Source organism: Homo sapiens, chromosome 10 (assembly GCF_000001405.40).
Source record: "Homo sapiens chromosome 10, GRCh38.p14 Primary Assembly".
In the NCBI taxonomy this organism is placed as follows: Eukaryota; Metazoa; Chordata; class Mammalia; order Primates; family Hominidae; genus Homo; species Homo sapiens.
The window spans coordinates 52,789,502-52,810,379 of record NC_000010.11 but is presented as its reverse complement, the minus strand read 5'-3'; the positions used below and the strand labels follow the sequence as shown (position 1 = coordinate 52,810,379).

General features: G+C 36.2%; 2 long non-coding RNA genes across 4 annotated transcripts in view; one reads left to right on the top strand and one right to left on the bottom strand.

The window, feature by feature from the left end:
* Positions 1 to 20,878, bottom strand: part of LOC105378306 (uncharacterized) — a 33,317-nt gene that overhangs the window by 2,095 nt on the left and 10,344 nt on the right. Inside the window, exon 2 of the long non-coding RNA XR_945963.2 lies at positions 20,062 to 20,182. This is a non-coding gene — a long non-coding RNA (uncharacterized LOC105378306). The remainder of the gene's footprint in view (positions 1 to 20,061; positions 20,183 to 20,878) is intronic.
* Positions 1 to 20,878, top strand: part of LOC105378307 (uncharacterized) — a 28,825-nt gene that overhangs the window by 586 nt on the left and 7,361 nt on the right. Inside the window, exons 2-3 of one of the 3 annotated variants that reach the window (XR_945966.3) lie at positions 134 to 296; positions 16,908 to 17,048. This is a non-coding gene — a long non-coding RNA (uncharacterized LOC105378307). Of the gene's footprint in view, positions 1 to 133; positions 297 to 6,417; positions 7,317 to 16,907; positions 17,049 to 20,878 lie in introns of those variants that run through there. The other 2 variants (XR_001747451.2, XR_945965.3) reach the window with 2 other exon arrangements.

Below are 20,878 nucleotides of genomic sequence, written 5' to 3'. Positions count from 1 at the left end.
ACAAGGTTATATGGTAATATTTTCTAATTTAAAAAGTTTTAAAAAGACCATTTTAGAACATTTTTGTTAAAAAAATAAGATGTAACAATACTAATTTATGACATACTAATATTAATGTCCCGTCATTTTCTAGAAGACAAGGACAAACTGATACATCATCAAAAGAATTTATTTAGCCAGAGTGAATACATTCTTCTTTATCCTCATTGTCTTTATGGAAACCTCCAAATGAGCAGCAGTGCACATCTATAAAGGATACATGGATGATTCAGAGAAAAAAAAGTGACCATGATTTGGTAAGAATAGAGTACTATCCTAAAGTAAAGCAAATTTCTAAAATCTTTCACCTCTAACATTTTCCAAGTATTTATTTATATGAATTAAATGTGGACTGGTGTTTCCATGAACTTACCTCTTTCTTCAGTGTAAACCATTTAGAGTCTTTGGATGCAAGTAAACACTATGAAGCATATTATTTTATTCACTTTTGCTATAAATTTACATTAGCTATTCCATTCAGTTCATCCACATTATCTGAATTAATGGCATGAGGCTCTAGTTGTTGAAGTCTGAATACTGCATCCAAAATGTATTTTATAAAAGTTTTTTTGGCTGGGTGCGGTGACTCATGCCTGTAATCCCAGCACTTTGGGAGGCTGAGGTGGGAAGATCATGAGGTCAGGAGTTCGAGATCAGCCTGGCCAACATAGTGAAACCCCGTCTCTACTAAAAATACAAAAAGTAGCTGGGTGTGTTGGCAGGTGCCTGTAGCCCCAGCTACTTGGGAGGCTGAGGCAGAAGAATTGCTTGAACCCAGGAGCAGAGGTTGCAGTGAGACAAGACTACACCACTGCACTCTTGCCTAGGCGACACAGTGAGACTCTGTCTCAAAAAAAAAAAAAAGTTTTTTTAAAATAGTGGTATGAATTGTAACCATGTTCTTTTATATTTGTCTTTGACTAAGAGTGGTGATAAAGTCTCTACCTTGCTCCTAACATTTGAAAATAAATTACTACGATGCATTTGGCAATACACATGTACACACAGACATATGGAAATAATATTTGTTTAAGATCACAAAGGATTTTATACTGCCATTTTTCATATGCTTCACAACAAAGATATTGATATTTCTAAGTTTTCTGGCAGGATGATATGCCAAGCAAGGAATGATTTAATTACACATTCAGAAATCATTCAGTTTTACATATGTGTGACAGGGGAATACAGATCAGTTGGAAAAGAAAATGCATTGTCACCAAAAATAACATTTATTTTATCATACGGATGTTATTGCTGTAGTTATCTATCAGGAATACCATGTTTGGCCCTTTAGGATTTCTTTTGTACTATAATTTCAAGAATTTGAAAGTCGTGTTCTTTCTGCATGTTACAAAGTTATTCTTTTTCATATCAAAAATTGATTCTTTTATGTGAGTTTCCCACTTCAGCATAAATTGTTTATTACTAAATGGCTTTGTAAGGTTGCAGGAATTATGCTTACCTCTTTAATATCCTTTTAAACCAAAGTGGAATGGAATCCACAGGGACCATTTAGTTACATTAGGAGACTGGAAAATTTGACTAACTTGCTATTTTTTTTACAAAAGTGTCGATAAAGGAAATTTTCTAAGGTAGCTTTGATCTTTATTAAATCTGTTTTTCTACAAAGAGCCAATTTCTAAAACAATTGCCAATGTTACTTGAAAGTAACAAGGCAAATGTGTCCTCTATTTATACTTTCTCTACACAAAAGTAGAAAAAAATGAAAAGGAAAAGTTGAACTTTTTTCTCTCATTATATAAAACTGATCATTCAGTAGTGTTGTGTGCAGTGATCTCTCTAGGAATTTGTTGAAATAAATAATCATCCTTATCTGCTACTATGGATATAATTTTGATAAAGTACCTTACCAAAACAATGTAAAAATAATTGTGACACATGTACTATCTTAAATTGCAAAGTATGCTAATAGTTGTTATAAGTCTGGAAATGCGTCTTGGAAATTCTCCTTCTAAATCATTCCCACTTCCTCAATTTCATAGCTCAGGAAGGATGGCTCTGGAAGGATACAAAAATAATAAAATAGTGCCTACAAGTCCATGTTTCCTGAATTTCAACCCCAATGCTCTTTTCAAGTCAAATATCCGTTAGCTTATCTAACTAGCCTGAGCATGGGATGGTATCCAGTTAATAGTTATCGAGTGTTTGACATGTTCAAGAAAGAGAGGAAACCTGTCACAGAGAGGGAGACATTGCCCAGACAAGCTAAGGAGCAAGTCACCAAGAACCAAAGGCAGCAAAGAACATCTTATGCAGAAGTAGAAGAATTAGCTAACTACCCACAAGGTGCAGGCTTTGTGAGTAATAGATGGGTACAATTTGAGGGGTTTCAGTTTCACTGAGTGGAGTACTCACATGATAAGTGAGAAAGGAATTGGTCGGGCCCATGGAGTGCATTCTGATAGTCTCTGAGAGGAAATAACAAGGAAAGTGAAAAATAATTGGCTGGAAAGGCAAAATGATAGCATTCTAATGATAAGTTTGACTTAGTGTTAGCAAATTTGTGAATCCTTGCCCGTAACTCTTCAGACAGTTATTCATTCCTCATTAATCTAGGGGGAATTTGGGTCTGTTTGGGCTCTGCATATCAAATATTGCTTTGGTATGTGGGCTACAGGAGCCCTGCCACTCCTGCCACACATAAACCAGAGGTTCCCATGGACAGAGTCATACTGTCTCATGCATGCACTGAAATATGGATCCCTGTATGCCTCAGAGAACCTGAGTGGAACCTGAAGCACTTGAAGCTGGATTAGCAAACAAGAAATATGCTATGAGGGATAGGGTAGAAAATAGGAGGTAAGATGATAAAATAAAGGGAATATAAGGCAAACATGCATTCAAATTCTATAGTCACTTTAAGAAGCTACACATGCAGTAAGGATGCACAGACCCTCTGTAAACCAGTCTTGTTAGCATTCTTCCTCCACTCTGACGTGGTTGCGCAAAACTGAGGTGGCTCAGCTGAAGGGCAGCAAGCTGATCAGTGAGCACCAGTGCTGATTTGCAAATGCTCTAAGTAAATGACATTTGAATACCAGTCACTGGCTTTTTCAAACAAGGTCATTTCTCATAATTAAAAATCTCCCAGGAGGGGCACGGTGGCTCACGCCTGTAATTCCAACACTTTGGGAGGCCAAGGCGGTTGGATCACTTGAGGTCAGGAGTTCCAGACCAGCCTGGCCAACATGGTGAAACCCTATCTTTACAAAAAATACAAAAAATTAGCCAAACGTGGTGGCACATGCCTGCAATCCCAGCTACTTGGGAGGCTGAGGCAGCAGAATCACTCGAACCCGGGAGGCGGAGGTTGCAGTGAGCCGAGATCACACCACTGCACTCCAGCCTGGGTGACAGAGCGAGACTCTATCTCAAAAAAAAAAAAAAAAAAAAAAAAAATAATTCATAACAGATACTACAGCTAGCAAAAGGTAAAGGAATATTAGGAACAATTTTATGCCACTAAATTTGACTACTTAGATGAAATGGACAAACTGCTCTTTAAATTTTTGAAAAACACAACTTACCAATTTGGACCCAGAGAAATAGAAAATCTGTACAGTTCAAAATTCATTAAAGGAATTGTCATTAAACGTCATGTTATAAAGACATCTTCTAGTACACAAGATTTTGCTGGTGAATTTTAACATTTGAGGGAGAAATAATACCAATCTCACATGAACTCTTTCAGTAAGTAAGTGAAAAAAAAAAAAAGTGGGAGGGGGGACATTCCCAACTTGCTTTAAGGTAAGCATATCATCGATATCAAAATCTTAGGGCTTAGAGGAAATGCAGACTAATACTCCTGATGAAATGCAAAATAACTTAAAACATCAGCAAATGCAATCCAGTAGCAATCTCAAACTTACCAATATCGCCTTAAGAGAAGAAACACACCAAAAAGAAAATCTTCACATTGAGCATCCTGAGAAGATTATTGTTTCAGGACCTCAGTGAACTTAAAGAATGGTCTGTTTCCATTTCTGTGTCAATAAACCCTGGCCATCACCCAAGTCCCTGGAAAAAAGAAACTTGGTCTGTGATTTGAAGGCATTAAAGATTCTGGTGTGAGACACACACGTTCCTGGAGGTCTTGACTTTTTCCGCTCCCTTGGAGGATTCTTTCTCCTGGCAAAAGGTCACCTGGGAGCACAGGACAGTGGTTCTTTCCTGTGTGCCTGCCTGTCCCATCCCCGTGCGCCAGGTGATCCTATCCAGGCTCAGCTTCGGCCCTGGCAAAGAGGTCACCGGGTAGAAGCACTGCTGAGAGGCACAATGAGATACTGTATTTTTTCCCAGGAGAGAAGAAAACTTTAATGTTGCAAGCGCACACGTAAGTCTGTGAGGAAACCAGAACTACCATTTCAGAAAGTGGGGGCTTTGATGGCGCTTTCACCAGCAGTGAGAAACAATCACCTGTCAGCACTACCACCACATTCTAGGAAGAGCCTCCCTCTCCTGCAGCGAGCCTGGAGCTCGCATCACAGCCCCTGGTCTCCGAGTTCACCCGGAAAACACAGGGCATGGGGAGTACTGTAGGTTCACACCACCGAAGGGCAAAACTCTTGCCTCTTTGGACAAAGGGACTGTTTAAAAGTGCGTTCCTTCGAGGACAGAGTCACTTAAGGACTTAGGCGCAGGTCAACACCCGGGAAGCTCGCAGGCTTGGCGCCAGGACTTCCAGCCCGGGGGATTTGTAGCACGCAGAGGGTGAGTTGCTGCTCCAAGGCTGAGGGTGACTGACTCTCTCGGGAGGTGGTGACTGCTGACTCTTGCGTGGTGCTGAGGATAGTAGAGTCTGCCATGGGCTACAGTGTAATGCTGGCATTTCTGCCAGAGCCAGAGCTGCATTGACAGGGGTCTACCACTCTGCAGTAAATACCACCCGAGAATTCACAGCACTGTCATAAACATAATTTCACAGAGCGAGAATTATTAAGCTTCTGATAGATAACATAAATATGAAAATCAACTGAAAAAAAAAGGGCAAAGGGGGTTTGAGTATGGAGAGTATTTCATTTCTTTGTGGATCTGACTTGGGATGTGGGCACTTGTGAGTAACACCACGGCTGCATTTTAAATTCACAGTTCTTTTGTGTAAAAGACATGTGGGCAGAATTCCATTAATTTAGTGAATATGATTAAGGTAGATGCTCAAGCCAGAGAGAAAATCAGAAAGATATTTCTCTTTGCGTTGAATGCTCTGTAATCCAGTATTATTTGATAAAGGGAATAATATCAAAGTTGAGACTCAGGTGCACACTCCTAGAGCAATTTGACATTGCCAGGACCTCCAGGTGTGATCACTGGACCCCTGTGGTTGATCAGGGTAGAGACCTGCTCTCTAACAATTGATCAGCGTTTCCTGAGTCTGACCCCAGCATTAGTCATGCACAGTAGGACCACCTTACAGTATGGCATATTTTAAGATTGGTTCTGCAATTGTAACCTCAAAGTCTAGAAAATCCTTAGTGCATTTCCTTTGAAAGATGATTTCAATATAACTATAACTTAAGAAGCTAACTTGTTGGAACTGTCATTGATGGAACGTTGAAATAAATATCCAGAGCTTAATAAAATTGCTTTCAAAATCTCTGAGAGGTTTCTCTGCTGTGAGTATTATTAAAATAAATCATATAGACATATTACACATGCCCTGTGAGCCATTTCGTCACCCCCACTCAGTCCAGATCAGAAAAGTCCATAGGAAAGATGCAATTTTTTTGACACACTAAAATATTTAAATATTGATAAATACGGCATTTGTTGAAAGTGCTCTTAGAGGTATTCTAATATAGGAGATTGCTATTTTTCATAACTTATAACATTATGATTGCAGAATGACATAAGTTTAACAGAATTATCTATATTAATTGCAACTATGCTTATTTCAATGAATAATGTGTTCAGTTTGTGTAATTCTTTTATTCCTGTTATGTTACTTTGATTATATTTATTGAAATGAAATTTTAGGGTGTTAAAATACAATATTTGGGGCTTGACTTTTTATTTCTTTATTTTTAAAATTTTTTCTAATAAGGCATTTTACAAAACTGTCAGTCTGGAAATTAAACAAATTAATAAAAGATTCTTCACACATAAGATACGAGAAGCACTGCTCTAGATCTTATTATTCCTCCATAATTTTCTCTGAGCTGTGAGATTCTGACCAAACTTGATGGTGAAAAAAAAATTGTAGTAAGGACACTGGAAACTTTCTGGCAATGCAAATTCAACAACATAAATCGTATTTTATTTTCTTCAAATAAGTAGTTTTCTCTGAAGTTTCATAATAATTCAGGTAATAGTTATTTTCTGTTTGGTTGTTTTTGTTTTTGTTTTCCTCCTTCCAAGCCCAGAAAATCCACCAATTGGAAGGGGAGGACTCTTTTCTTCCCATCCCACTCATGAGAACAGTGAAGGTAATGTCCACAGGACATGTTCCTTACAGTCCCACCTTGTTGGACCCCACTCGGTAATTTGGAGTCTTGTGATCGTGATCTGGGAAGAAAGGGCAACAGCTTTCCAGGTGAAGGTGCAGGGAAGAGTTGTCTCCTTGGAGTCCAGGATGGGAGCCTACTGCTTGCTGGGAATCTCAGCTGGTGAAAAGGATGCAGGGCAAGTAGTGGTTAAGCATGGTCATTTGAGCATCAAGGTGAAAAGCTGCTTCTAAATTGTAGGGACCAGATCCACACAGCGATCTCTCCAACATGGGTGGAAAAGGATGTTCTTGGCCACATTAATCACACCTCTCTCCAGAAATCCAGGCACCAGGAATTAAGCCAAACACCAGATGAGGGCTCCCCATGTGCTGTTAAGAACTGCAGCCTTCCTGCAGGAGCATCAGTAGACCCAAAAGGCCAGAAAACATCTTCCTGAAGCCCCAAAAAACAGAAGCCTCAACTGTCTGCCCTTTCTATATTCCTGAACTGTAGAATCTTTGAGCATAATAAAATGGCTGTTGTTTTAGCCAATTCAAGATGATTTATTATGTAGCAATAGTAACTAGGACATACCGATGTTTGTGTTAAAGTCAGAGGAGCTTTTAAAATTTTTCAGACCATTGCAGATGTTATATTTATCAATTTGCAGTAAATATCAATATATCCAGATCCGTACACATTTTACTAAATCATAATCTTTATACTAACTTTCATTTATTTGAAATGTACATATCACTAACGACACATTCCACAATATATGAATGTTGTTGAAGATTGGAGCTTTTCCTCATCCATGTTTATTATTTTAAAATTTACTGTACATTTCAAAACTCTGTATTGTTGCTTATTACCAACTTACTAAGGATAATAATTGCAGACATTTTACTTTGTGAAATTTTAATGTTTTTATATTAAAATAATACGTTTGAACAACTGTAATAAGAACTCTAGTGAAAGCATTGGTTTAAATTACTATAATATATCATAACTATAAGTAAAATAGTTCTATTTTAATTATGTCAACTGTAATAAAGGAACTGTCAAGCAGTGCAACTGTAAAAAGAGTAAGAGTTCATTTGCAAATGGAAAGCAAATAAAATAGTGCATTGCATTCCAGAACTAAATTCACATTAGAAGTATGTTGTATACATATTTAAGTGACATACTTAAAGCCTTAACATCTAAGTAGAATAAAAAAGTACTTGACTTGACATCTTTGCTTACCATCCAAAGTAATGATTTTAATATTTACTTTTTTTCTTCAAAATTGGTAGATATACATCCAGGAGTAAGTGAATGTGGTAAGGCTACAGTATTCTATTAAACTGAGTCATGTAATTAAATGTATTTTATAATACTAATGAACATATATTCCATCTTTATATAGACATATACATATGTGCATGTCTATATGTGAGAGATATATTTGTTAATTATGTCACTTCACAATAAATGCTGGACAGTTTATTTGTTTAACTATGTCCATTTAGAAGATCCAAGAAAATTTTGTTGCTGACATTAATCTGTAGATTTCTTATTTTTTAATTTTTAAGTGAGAATTGTATGTGTTAATATCAAGAGGATATTGTATTCATTCATTTAAGCCTAAAAACACTTTGCACATATCTTCCCCTTTTTAGTTAACATTCACTCTGACAGGGAAATCTTTGGATTATGATTAATCTGCTCTGAATTCTTTAGGAGAGTAGTTTTACAATAATATCTCTGAGTCATTGCTTGGTGGGGAAAGTTACTTGGTTTATGAGTATTTCTTAGGAATACACATGTTTTCTGTTTTTCTGACCAATGGGATACGTTTTTCTATTGGGACACCAATTAAAACATTGTGCTTGTCAACAAAACTCAGATTATTCTTAAAAGAGAGAAAAAATATAAGTCCAAACAACTGAGATAGAAGCTAGGGTTATCATTAGTAAAGAAACTGTAGCCACTCAATTAGCCAGAAACTAAGGATGCTTGGTAATTTTTGTGGTTGCATAGTGTCCTTTTCCCGATATTTAGACATGATTGCAGAGTGGTGTTGTTTATATCTTGTTTGGCCACAGTCACTTGTGGCCTCTGATTATTGATAATATTCTGAGGAGTATTTCTGGTCTGTAAGAAGCAGTATAACATGTTGTCAGCTGTCAAGACTTTTTTTTTTTTTTTTAACTTCTCGAGTTTTATAATTCCAAGAACATAGGACTTCACTAGTATTCAGGTGTTATACATTCTTTCCCCACCTCACCCCCAGGCCACTGTTTATTATGGATTATTAGTCAGAGAGAGTTTCATCAGATTTCATTATCTATAATTTCCCAAGTCAATCTCTGAAATAAAAGCAATTACAGTTAGAAAGTTGAAAGCTCAGAAGCATTCAGGATGTATTTGAGGAACTCAGAGTGTTGGTTGGGGGATTGAAGCAGGAATATAATGGGTAGGAGGCAGGACTAAATTGCAGCTCCCAATCAGATGGACAGAGCAGCATGTGGAGACTCACATCGTGAACTTTCACTCCAGTAACTACTGCACAAACATACCGGGAAAGCTAAGAGAATCTAAAGACCCTTTGAAGGAAGTGGATTGCTCTTGCAGGCCACTGGAGACAGCCGGAAAAACTCAGAAAGCAAAGGATGTAATCTCTTTGGAGTTCTAGGGCCCCATCCACCACCTGATCCTCCCTATGCTACTGCAGTTGATGCTGTCTTGAAAGCACCACCTCCTGGCAGGAGGCCAACCAACACAAAACTAGTGCAAGAAACAAAACTACAACTAAGGACTCTCACAGAGTCCATTTTACTTCCTTGCCACCTCCACTAGAGCAGGTGCTGCTATCCATGACTGAGAGACCTGAAGATGGTTCAAATCACAGAACTCTGTGAAGACACCCAACGGTACCAGTCCAGAGGCTGGTAGCTCAGCTGGGTGGCTGGATCCAGAAGAGACATAACAAACACTACAATTTGGCTTTCAGGAACCCACATCCCTAGGAGAAGGGGGAGAGCAACACATCAAGGAAGCACCCCATGGGACAAAAGAATCTGAACAGTAGCCCTTGAGCCCCAGATCCTCTCTCTGACATAATCTACCCAAATGAGAAAGAACCAGAAAAACAATTCTGGTAATATGACAAAACAAGGTTGTTTAACACCCAGAAAAGATCACACAAGCTCACCAGCAATGGATCCAAACCAAGAGGAAATCTCTGAATTGACAGAAAAAGAATTCAGAAGGTCAATTATTAAGCTAATCAAGGAGGCACTGGAGAAATGTGAAGTCCAACTTAATGAAATCAAAAAAATGGTACAAGATATGAAGGGGAAAATCTTTAGTGAAATAGATAGCATAAGTTAAAACAAAACCACAACTTCTGGAAATGAAGGCGACACTTAGAGAAATACAAACTGCACTAGAAAGTCTCAGCAATAGAATCAAACAAGTAGAAGGAAGAACTTCATGGCTCAAAGACAAGGTTTTTGAATTAACCCATTCCAACAAAGACAAAGAAAAAAGAATAAAATAATGAACAAACCCTCCAAGAAGTTTGGGATTATATTAAATGACCAAGCCTAAGAATAATGGGTATCCCTGAGGAAGAAGAGAAATCTACAAGTTTGGAAAACATATTTGAGGGAATAAGCAAGGAAAACTTCCCCAGCATTGCTACAGACCTAGACATCTAAATACAAGAAGCTCAAAGAACACCTGGGAAATTTATCACAAAAACATCATTGCCTAGGCAGTCATCAGGTTATCTAAAGTCAAAACAAAGGAAAGAATCTTAAGAGCTGTGAGGGAAAAGCACCAGGTAACTTGTAAAGGAAAACCTATTAGATTAACAGTAGATTTCTCAGCAGAAACCCTACAAGCTAGATGGGATGAGGGCCCTATCTTCAGCCTCCTTAAACAAAACAATTATCAGCCAAGAATTTTGTATCCAGTAAAACTAAACTTCATAAATGAAAGAAAGATAGTCTTTTATAGACAAACAAATGCTGAGAGAATTCACCACTACCAAGCCAGCACTACAAGAACTGCTAAAAGCAGCTGTAAATCCTGAAACAAATCTTCAAAATACACCAAAATAGAATCCCCTTAAAGCATAAATCTCACAGGACCTATAAAACAACAAAACAAACAAACAAATAAATAAATAAACAAGGTGTTCAGAAAAACAAATAGCATGATGAATAGAATAGTACCTCACATCTCAATACCAACATTGAATGTAAATGCTCCACTTAAAAGATACAGAATGGCAGAATGGATAAGAATTCACCAATCACGTATCTGCTGTCTTCAAGAGACTTATTTCACACATAAGGACTCACATAAACTGAAGGTGAAGGGGTGAAAAAAGATATTCCATGCAAATGGACACCAAAAGCAAGCAGGAGTAGCTATTCTTATATCAGAACAAACAAACTTTAAAGCAGCAGCAGTTTAAAAAGACAAAGAAGGACATTATATAATGATAAAGAACTTGTTCAACAGGAAAATATCACAATCCTAAATATATATGCACCTAATGCTGGAGCTCCCAAATTTATAAAACAATTATGATTAGACCTAAGAAATGAGATACACAGCAATACAATAATAGTGGGGGACATTTCAATACAATACTGACAGCACTAGACAGGTTATCAAGACAGAAAGTCAACAAAGAAACAATGGATTTAAACTATACCCTAGAACAAATAGACTTAACAGATATTTACAGAACATTAAACCCAACAATGACAGAATATACATTCTATTCATCAGCACATGGAGCATTCTCTAAGATAGACCATATGATAAGCCACAGAACAATCTCAACAAATTTAAGAAAATTGAAGTTATATCAAGTACTCTTTCAGACCATAATGCAATAAAATTGGAAATCAACTCCAAAAGGAACCCTGAAAACTATGCAAATACATGGAAATTAAATAACCTGCTCCTGAATAACCACTGGGTCAACAATGAAATCAAGATGAAAATGTAAAAATTATTTGAACTGAATTATCATATTGATACAACCTATCAAAACCTCTGGGATACAGCAAAGGTGGTGTTAAGAAGAAAGTTCACAGCCTTAAATGCCTACATCCAAAAATCTGAAAGAGCACAAATAACACAAATAGACAATCACACCTCAAGGAACTAGAGAAACAAGAATAAACCAAACCCAAATCCAGCAGAAGGAAAGAAATAACAAGGATCAGAGCGGAACTAAATAAAATTGAAACAAACAAAAAAATATAAAAGATAAATGAAACAAAAAGCTGGTTCTTTGAAAAGATAAACAAAATTGATAGACCTTTAGTGAGATTAACCAAGAAAAGAAGAAAAAGGACTGAAATAAGCTCAACTAGAAATGAAACAGGAAATATTACAACTGATACCACAGAAATACAAAGGATGCTTCAAGGCTGCTACGAACACCTTTATGCACATAAACTAGAAAACCTAGAGGAGATAGATAAATTCCTGGAAATATACGACCCTCCTAGATTAAACCAGGAAGAAATAGAGACTCTGAACTGACCAATAACAAGGAACAAGATTGAAATTAAAAAAAAATTGCTAACCAAAAATCCTCTAGGACCAGACAAATTCACAGCTGAATTCTATCAGACATTCAAAGAATTGGCACCAATCCTGTTGACATTATTCAACAAGATAGAGACAGGGAACCCTCCCTAAACCATTCTATGAAGCCAGTATCACCTTAATACCAAACCAGGAAAGGACATAATCAAAAAATAAAACACAAACCAATATCCCTGATGAATATAGATGCAAAAATCCTTAACAAAATACTAGCTAACCGAATCCAACAGCATATTTAAAAGATAATCCACCATGATCAAGTGGGCCTCATATCAGGGACGCAGGGATGGTTTAATGTTCACAAGTCAATAAATGTGATATATCGCATAAACAGGATTAAAAACAAAAATCACATGATCATCTCGATAGATGCAGAAAAACATTTGACCAAATCCAGCATCCCTTTATGACTAAAACCCTCAGCAAAATCAGCATAGAAGGAACATACCATAATGTGATAATCTATGACAAACACACAGTAAACATAATACGGAATGGGGAAAAGCTGAAAGCATTCCCCCTGAGAACTGAGACAAGGCAAGGATGGCCACTCTCACCACTTCTATTTGACATAGTACTGGAAGTCCTAGCCAGAGCAAGCAGACAAAAGAAAGAAATAAAGGGCATCCAAATCAGCAAAGAGAAGGTCAAACTTTCACTGTTTTCTGATTATATGATCGTATACCTAGAAAACCCTAAAGACTCATCCAAAAAGCTCCTAGAACTCATAAATGCATTCAACAAAGTTTCAGGATACAATATTAATGTACACAAATCAGTAGCTCTGCTATATACCAACAGTGACCAAAGTGTATTAGTCTGTTTACATACTGCTATAACAAACTGCCTGAGACTGGGCAATTTATAAATGAAAGAGGTTTAATTGACTCACAGTTCAGCATGGTTGGGAATGCCTTAGGAAACTTACTATCATGGCAGAAGGCAAAGTGGAAGCAAGGCACCTTTTTCACAAGGTGGCAAGAAGAAGTGCCCAGCGAAGGGGGAAAATACCCCTTATAAAATGATCAGATCTCATGAGAACTCACTCACTATCATGAGAACAGCATTGGGGAAACTACCCTCATGATTCAATTACTTCCCTTAGCACATGGGGATTATGGGGATTACAAATCAAGATGAGATTTGAGTGGGGACACAAAGCCTAACCATATAACAAGCTGAGAATCAAATCAAGAACTCAACCCTTTTTACACTAGCTGCAAAAAAATTTAAATAAAATATTAGGAATATACCTAACTAAGGAAGTGAAAGGCCTCTACAAGGAAAAGTACAAAACACTGCTGAAAGAAATCATAGATGACACAAACAAATGGAAACACACATGGATGTGCAGAATCATGAATTTCAGAATTTCATCTCATGGATGAGTAGAATCAATATGGTGAAAATGACCATACTGCCAAAAGCAATCTACAAAACCAATGCAATTCCCATCAAAATACCATCATCATTCTTCACAGAACTAGAAAAAACAATCCTAAACATTCATATGGAACCAAAAAAAAGAGCCCACATAGCCAAAGCAAGACTAAGCAAAAAGAACAAATCTGGAGCCATCACATTACCTATACTATAATATAATACAGTATAGTATATTCAAACTATCCTATAAGGCCATGGTCACCAAAACAGCATGGTACTAGTATAAAAATAGGCACAGAGACAAATGGAAAATAATAGAGAACCCAGAAATAAAGCCAAATTCATACAGCCAACTGATCTTTGACAAAGCAAACAAAAACATAAAGCGGGGAAAGGACACCCTATTGAACATATGGTACTGGGATGATTGGCAAGCCACATGTAGGGGAATGAAACTGGATCCTCATCTCTCACCTTATACAAAAATCAACTCAGGATGGATCAAGGACTTAAATCTAAGACGTGAAACCATAAAAATTCTAGACGATAACATCGGAAAAACCCTTCTAAACATTGGCTTAGGCAAAGACTTCATGACTGAGAACCCAAAAGCAATGCAACAAAAACAAAGATAAATAGATGGGATTTAATTAAACTAAAAAGCCTCTGCACAGAAAAAGAAACATTCAGCAGAGTAAACAAACAATGCACAGAATGGGAGGAAATCTTTGCAATCTATACACCTGACAAAGGACTGCTATGCAGAATCTACAAGAAACTCAAACAAATCAGCAAGAAAAATACAAACAATCCTATCAAAAAGTGGGCTAAGGATATAAATAGGCAATTCTCCAAAGAAGATATACAAATGATCAACAAACATATGAAAAAATGCTCAACATCACTAATGATCAGGGAAATGCAAATCAAAACCACAACGCAATACCATCTTAGTCCTGCAAGAATGGCCATAATCAAAATATCAAAAAATAATAGACGTTGGTGAGGATGCAGTGAAAAGGGAACACTTTTACATTGCTGATAGGAATGTAAACTAGTACAACCACAATGCAAAACTATAGAGATTCCATAAAGAACTAAAAGTAGAACTACCATTTGATCCAGCAGTCCCCACAACTGGGTGTCTACCCAAAGGAAAAGAAGTCATTATATGAATAAGATCCTTGCACACTCATGTTTATGGCAACACAATTCATAATTGCAAAAATATGGAACCAGCCCAAGTGCCCAGTAATGAACAACTGGATAAAGAAACTGTGGCATATGTATATATACATACCATGGAATACTACTCAGCCATAAATAGGAATGAAATAATGGCATTTGCAACAGCCAGGATGGAACTGGAGATCATTATTCTAAGTGAAGTAACTCAGGAATGGAAAACCAAACATTGTGTGTTGTCACTTATAAACGAGAGCTAAGATATGAGGATACAAAGGCATAAGAAGGATACAATGGGCTTTGGGGACTTGGGGAAAATGGTGGGAGGGGGGTGAGGGATAAAATACTACACACTGGGTACAGTGTACACTGCTTAGAGGATGGGTGCACCAAAATCTCAGGAATCACCGCTAAAGAACTTACTCATGTAAGCAAACACCACTCTTCCCCAAAAACCTATTAAAATTTTTTTAAAAAACAAAAAAAGTATTTGCATAATTCATTTGCAATAGAAAGTGATAAGCCATGTAAGATCTATTTGCTGCAAATTGAAATACATATTGCTTCAGCAAAGTTACTTAACTGGGTAAAATACTACCTGCAAATCTAAAGACACGGAAAAGTGTTCTAATATATACTAGATATATTATATCTAGTATATATTTATCAAGTGATATTTGATGGGCCAATAAGCTAAAAAGTTGGAATTAGTTCCTAGATGAGAAATATAAATTTAGAAGCTTTTTAAACACAGCGTCTACATGTATTTCTCAGAATCTAATATCGTTAATTTATACTTGTTTTCTGGAAACTACCTACATATTGTAAGTGGCATTTAGTTTGTGATTATAATTTTTAAGATAATTTCACCCTACACTTTTTTTTTTGCTTAATTTGCTTTTCTGAAAGTTAATAATAAGAGCTTATATGTGTCAAGCACTTAAATATTACAAAAGTCATTTCATTTGAAACTCACAAATAATATGCAGAAGATATATTTACTATAGTCATTTTGATAAGGAGGAACAGAAAAAAAAATTGGTCGAGGTAGTACAATAGAAGGAGCTAAAGACTGGAAACTACCATGGATTTGCCATGTGGTTTATAATTATGTTATACTCCCTGCTAGAAGGCAGGAAAGAATTTGCAGAAGACAATATATGTAAAAGGAATTGGCAAACTGTGATTATTGTATTATTTTGAAACATTAAGGAAAATGATAAGCAGCAAGATCGCAAGTTTCCACAGGTCTTTTCTGTTTCTTACTCAGATTGTGTGACATAAGCACAGTGCCATATCAAGGGCCATATATATCAATCATGGCTCAAAGAATGAAATGAAATTCAAATGTACAGTAGAAAATTTTTAAAATGACTGTTACTTGACTGACTAGCTTCTTAATAAGTACTTGCCATTCTTCTGTAAAACACTGTGGCTGTTGCTCGTAACAAGCTCAGTACTAAAACTAGGTATGCATGTCCCTATGAACATCCACCCCATTACACAACCATCTTCCAGTTCATCTTTTGTCTGAGACTAGGGTTTTACTTATTAATAATACAAAAATCCACATAGATTCAGGCTCAGTAAGACGTAATCCATTTTGATTACATTTCTTCTTTCCTTGCTAACACTTTAAACAATAGAATAACCTGCTTGGTGAAACAATTTAAAGCACCAAGAGAGATTCTGTAATGCCTTTTAAGATAGATTTTGAGATTACTGCCTTGTTGAAAAAGACTTTCAGTGAGAATCATGGTTTATTTTCCACTGTAGATATTTGAAAAGTTTTAGAAGTTGAATTTTTCACTAGAATATTTGTTCTATTAGAAAGGATCCTTGTCTATTCTGTTCACTGTTGGCTCCCTACTACATATCATAACACAGCCTTGTGATAAGAATTTGTTGAATAAATAAATACATTCTAAGTATCCTTCACTGTCATCATGCATTTCTTTTTAAGGGATAAGCCTTCAAATGAAATAATGCCTCTAAGGAAGTTCTATAACCACAGAAAGAAAGATTCAGATTCTCATTAAATTCACATTTTAAATTTTGAAAATATTTACAAACATATGTATCTGATAGCAGACGACAGAACATTATTCTGATAGTTTGATCTATTAAGTTCTTACAATTGTAATTAAATTTTCTTGGATAACTTCTAAGGTGCAGAAGGATTATTGAGTCTTGCTGACTGCTGATTTCTTTGTTTTGCATTTTCTCTAATCTTAGGAGAAAATAAGGATTTTTTCCTTTTTGCCATGTCAGAAGATTGATTTCCACATAAGTTTTAGGACTTCCCTTGAGTGAAGAGGCTATTAACTCTAAAATAGTATCGAAAGAAGATTCCTGGAAGCAGAAAGGTGATTTAATTTTCACTTAGGTAGGTATCTTAGTCTTTTAAGAAAAGCCTCTCATTAGAATTATATTAGTTTTAAAATCTTTATCCTGGACCTTTCTGTTAGTTAGGTCTTAAGCAGGTTTTGACCTTCCTTTTTATTTGAAACATTAAAGATAGCAAAATCACAGCTTTGATTAGAAAAATTTTAATTGGTAAGGTAATGCTAACTCTGGAAGCAAACACCAAAATAATTGTACTTGGGGAAAATATGGATAGAAGTTTATTTTTCAAAAAAACTTGAATACTGACAATATTCCTTCTCTTAAAATTGCTGTCTTCTAAGTAGGAATTCAAGGACTCAGTCACCTTCTGTCACGTAGCATGCAAAAAACTTACCTACCTATTCCTAGTTTGCCAAGAATTTTTTTAATCATGAAAGAGTGTTGGATTTTGTCAAATGCATTTTCGGTATGCGGTTTTTGTACTTTATTGTATTAATCCTTTGTATTTTATTGATAGATTTTCATATGTGGGACCAGCCTTGCATTCCTGGGATGTATCCCACTTCGTCATGGTGTATCCATTTCTATATGTTGCTGGATTTGTGTTGTTTATATTTTTGTGTCTATATTCATAAGACATATTGTTCTGAAATTTTATTTTTGTAATGTTTTTTATTTTGGTACTAGGGTAATACTGATCTTATAGAATCAATTGGGAAGCATTTCTTCCTCCTCCATATTTTGGAGGAGTTTGTGAATAATTGATAAATTCTTAACTATTTACATATTTGGTAGAAGTCACCATTGAAGACCTCAGTGCCTGATCTTTTTTATGTGGAAAGTTTTTTTAAATTAATCACTTTACTTGTTATATGTTAATTCAGATATTTCTATTTCTCTCTGAGTTTGTTTCAACAATTGGTGTTATTTTAAGTTTGCCAATTTGTTGATATAAACTTCTTGTTCATACTATGCCCTTAAAATCCTTTATTTCTATAAGTTCTGTACTACTGTCCCTTTATTCCTGATTTTAATATTTTGAGTATTCTCTTTTCTCCTTCTTTCTAGCTAAAGGGTTGTTACCTCTGTTGATCTTTTCACAGAAACAATTTTGATTTTGATGATTTTCTCTATTGTTTTTCTATTCTCTGTTTCATTTACTTTATTCTCTATTCTTTATTATCTATTTTTATTCTTTAATCTTTATTATTTCCTTCCTTCCGCTTGCTTTGGTTTTATATTTTCTTATTTATTTAGTTTCTTAAGGTGAATGCTTAATTTGTTTGAGATCTTCCTCTTTTAAAACATATGTAGTAATTTATAGCTATAAATGTCTCTCTAAGCACTACTTCAGCTATACCTTAGAAGATTTGGTATGTTGTATCTTTATCACTTCCATTAATAACAAAATATTCTAAACGTTTTCCTTGAGATGCCACTTCACGTCCACTGGGATGGCTATAATAAAGAAGATATATACAGTTGACCCTCAGACAACACAGGCTTGAGCTGTGTGGGTCCACTTATTTGCAGATTTTCTACCACATCTGCCATACCTGAGACAGTAAGACTAATCCTTCCTCCTTCTCCCCCTCCTCAGCCCATTCAACATGAAGACAATGAGGATGGAGATCTTTATGATGATCTACTTCCACTTAATGAGTAATAAATATATTTTCTCTTCCTTATGATTTTTTTAGATAACATTTTCGCTTCTCTAGCTTACTTTATTGTAAGAATATGGTTGCAATCCTAGTATCTGATAAAACAGACTTTAAACCAACAAAGATCAAAAGAGACAAAGAAGGCCGTTACATAACGGTAAAGGGATCAATTCAACAAGAAGAGCTAACTATCCTAAATATATATGCATCCAATACAGGAGCACCCAGATTCATAAAGCAAGTCCTGAGTGACCTACAAGGAGACTTAGACTCCCACACAATGATAATGGGAGACTTTAACACCCCACTGTCAACATTAGACAGATCAACGAGACAGAAAGTTAACAAGGATACCCAGGAATTGAACTCAGCTCTGCACCAAGCGGACCTAATAGACATCTATAGAACTCTTCACCCAAAATCAACAGAATATACACTTTTTTCAGCACCACACCACACCTATTCCAAAATTGACCACATACTTGGAAGTAAAGCTCTCCTCAGAAAATGTAAAAGAACAGAAATTATAACAAACTGTCTCTCAGACCACAGTGCAATCAAACTAGAACTCAGGATTAAGAAACTCACTCAAAACCACTCAACTACATGGAAACTGAACAACCTGCTCCTGAATGACTACTGGGTACTAACGAAATGAAGGCAGAAATAAACATGTTCTTTGAAACCAACGAGAACAAAGACACAACATACCAGAATCTCTGGGACACATTCAAAGCAGTGTGTAGAGGGAAATTTATAGCACCAAATGCCCACAAGAGAAAGCAGGAAAGATCCAAAATTGACACCCTCACATCACAATTAAAAGAACTAGAAAAGCAAGAGCAAACACATTCATAAGCTAGCAGAAGGCAAGAAATAACTAAAATCAGAGCAGAACTGAAGGAAATAGAGACACAAAAAACCCTTCAAGAATATATAATACATAAAAATATGTGTTAATTGACTGTGTTATTGGCAAGGCTTTTGGTCAACAGTAGGCTTTTAGTAGTTAAGTTCCAAGGGAGTCAAAAGTTATATGTGAATTTTCAACTGCACAGGGGGTGGCACCCCTAACCCCCACATTGTTCAAGTGTCAACTGTATTAACAAGTGTTGCTGAAGACATGGAGAAACTAGAATCCATATCTTGCTAGTGGGAATATACAATGCCATAGTCAATTTGGAAAACAGTTTGAAGAGTTCCTCAAAATGTTAAACATAGGCAGGTGCACTGGCTCATGCCTGTAATCCCAGCACTTTGGGAGGACAAGGCAGGAGGATTACTTGAGGCCAGAAGTTTGAGACCAGTCTGGGAAACATAGGAAGTCCTCATCTCTACAAAAATGTAAATAAATATTATCTGGGCATGGTGGTGCATACCTGCAGTCCAAGCTACTTGAGAGGCTGTGATAGGACAATAGCTTGAGCCCAGGAGTTGGAGGCTGCAGAGGGCCATGATTGCACCACTGCACTCTACCCTGGCGATAGAGTGGGACTGTCTCTGAAAATAAAAAAATAAAAAGATTAAACATAGAATTACCACCATATGATACAGCAATTCAATTCTAAGGTACAGATTCAAGAGTATTGAAAACACACATCCACACAAAAACTTGTACACAAGTTTTCATAGCACTATTAATCATAATAGCCCATAGTGAAAACAACCGAAAAATCTATTAAGTGGAAAATGGGAAAACAAATGTAGTATATCTTTAAAATGGAGTATTATTCAGCCATTAGAAGGAATGAAGTATTGATTCATTCTACAACATGGTTGAATCTTGAAAACATAATGCTATGTGAAAGAAGTCAGCCAGAAAAAGCCAGATACTATATTATTATATTTGTATGAAATATCAAGGATAGGTAAATCAATAGATAGAAAGTAGATCAGTGATTGCCAAGGGCTGAGGAGGAGGGCGAATGGGAATGACTGCTAATGGGTACAAGGTTTCTTTTGAGGTGATAAAAATATGCTGGAATTAGATAGTGGTGATGACTGCATAATTTTATCAATATACTAAAAACAACAAAATTATATGAGAAAAATAAAACATCTGCATTTTGACTTCGGAGGAAAAATGAACGTGGAGATTCACATGCAAGAGGTATTTAATGAGCCAAGTCTGTAGATGATGCAAGACTCCAGCTCACACTCCATTGACTAGAACAAAGTCACATGGCCATCTCTAAT